Source organism: Homo sapiens, chromosome 16 (genome assembly GCF_000001405.40).
Source record: "Homo sapiens chromosome 16, GRCh38.p14 Primary Assembly".
NCBI classification, from domain to species: Eukaryota; Metazoa; Chordata; class Mammalia; order Primates; family Hominidae; genus Homo; species Homo sapiens.
Window position 1 is genome coordinate 76,956,755 of NC_000016.10, and position 1,820 is coordinate 76,958,574.

Genomic DNA, 1,820 nt, shown 5'->3' on the forward strand with positions numbered 1-1,820 from the left:
TATCCTCAAGCTCTCTTCAATGGAGTCTGATTGTGATAACTGTATCCTGCAGAAAGCCCTGATTGTTTGAGCAATGAGTACCAGAGGTAGTCCCAAAGCACACCTTCCAAGTAAGATAACAGGATAGAGATGTCATATATTTCATCAATGCAGAGAATTCCTCCTCGAAGGGGAAAATAGACCTTGGAAATCTGTGGCCTGCAGGGCCATCACTGTTACTCAATCCAAGATTGTTGGTAATGTGAGGTGAAGGTCAGGTAGAGGGCAAGATTGGTACTTAGTTACCAAAGCAACAGTGATATTCACCAAGATAATGAGGTGGGGAAACTATCCCTGACTGCCCTGGGAAATGTGCACATGGAGGGAGATGCTTGCAAAGCATTGACTCATTAATTCATAGCTTTCATCATTGCAGCCTTGTCAGTCTTACAGTCTGATATTCAACCATGTCTGTCCCGTAGAGCCAAATGTGCAACTTGTAGGTCTCTTATGCGAAGGTAAAGCCTTAGTTAAAAGAAGTAGAATCCTGACACTCGGGATACTGAATTAGGTAAAGCATACTTTTGAGGTTGAGTGCTCAGAAAGTTCAAATCCCTCTTTCACCATCAGAAGCAAATGAAGGAATAGAATATTAAATTTGAGCTACATTTATTTATCTGCATGTGCTTTCTTGGGATTTGGTACTTAATAAGTTGACTCAAGCACCTGGAAAAGCTGTTAGCAGCCACCATGATTGATATTTAATTTTTTTATCAATGGACATCCACAATAAAGGTTAAAATATGAAATTTCCAAGGTAAATTGTGAATGAATGAGGCCAGCAGCTTGGGGAATTGACCTAATATATGCAAACTGCTCAGCCACCCCTCACTGTACCCTGCAAGGGACAGGATATGACTTTCAAAAGGGTTATAAATATTTCATTATGAGGTTAGCACTATTTTCTACAAGTTTTTCTGAGGCTACCCTCAATAATCAGAGGAACAGATGGCCTACTTCTTTGGCCATAAGGTGTGCTCTTTCTGTGGCTACCCGGGTGCTTGTTCAATTGTCCCATATATGAAATGGTCTTGGTAGCAAGAATAAGCCTTTGCATGAGCCCAATAGCATGAATTTCTCCTCTCCATACCCGGTCTGGCTGCTACTAAAGCTAAATGTCAATCTCCCAACAGCAGAAGTCAACACTAAAGTCTGATACGGCATCACTCCCCAGATGTGGCAGCCAGTTACTGTAGTAGTCCATTTTCATACTGCTTTGGAGAAATACCTGAGACGAGGCAATTTATAAAGAGAAAGGAGTTTAATGAACTCAGTTTCACATGGCTGGGGAGGCCTCACAATCATGGCAGAAGGTGAAGGAGTAGCAAAGGCACATCTTACATGGCAGCAGGCAAGAGAGCTTGCACAGGGGAACTGCCCTTTATAAAACCATCAGCTCTCATGAGACTTATTCACTATCACGAGAACAGCACAGGAAAAACCCACCCCCATGTTTCAATTGCCTCCAACCAGTTCCCTCCCATGACACTTAAAGATTATGGGAGCTACAATTCAAGATGAGATTTGGGTGGGGACACATCCAAACCATACCGGTTAGAGGCAGGGTGGGGCTAACTTAGAGGCATGGGGGCTAACTTCCTCATGAAAACATACAACTGTCTTCTCAAAAAAAAAAGATATTGAGTCTGCGTATGGATTTTTCTTCCCTATTCACAAAGATTCTGCTAAAACCATAACATGTCTTTATCATCGTGGTATACTGAGCAATATCGCCTCTGCCCAAGGGACTTACTTTATGGTGAAGGTAGTACAGCAACAGG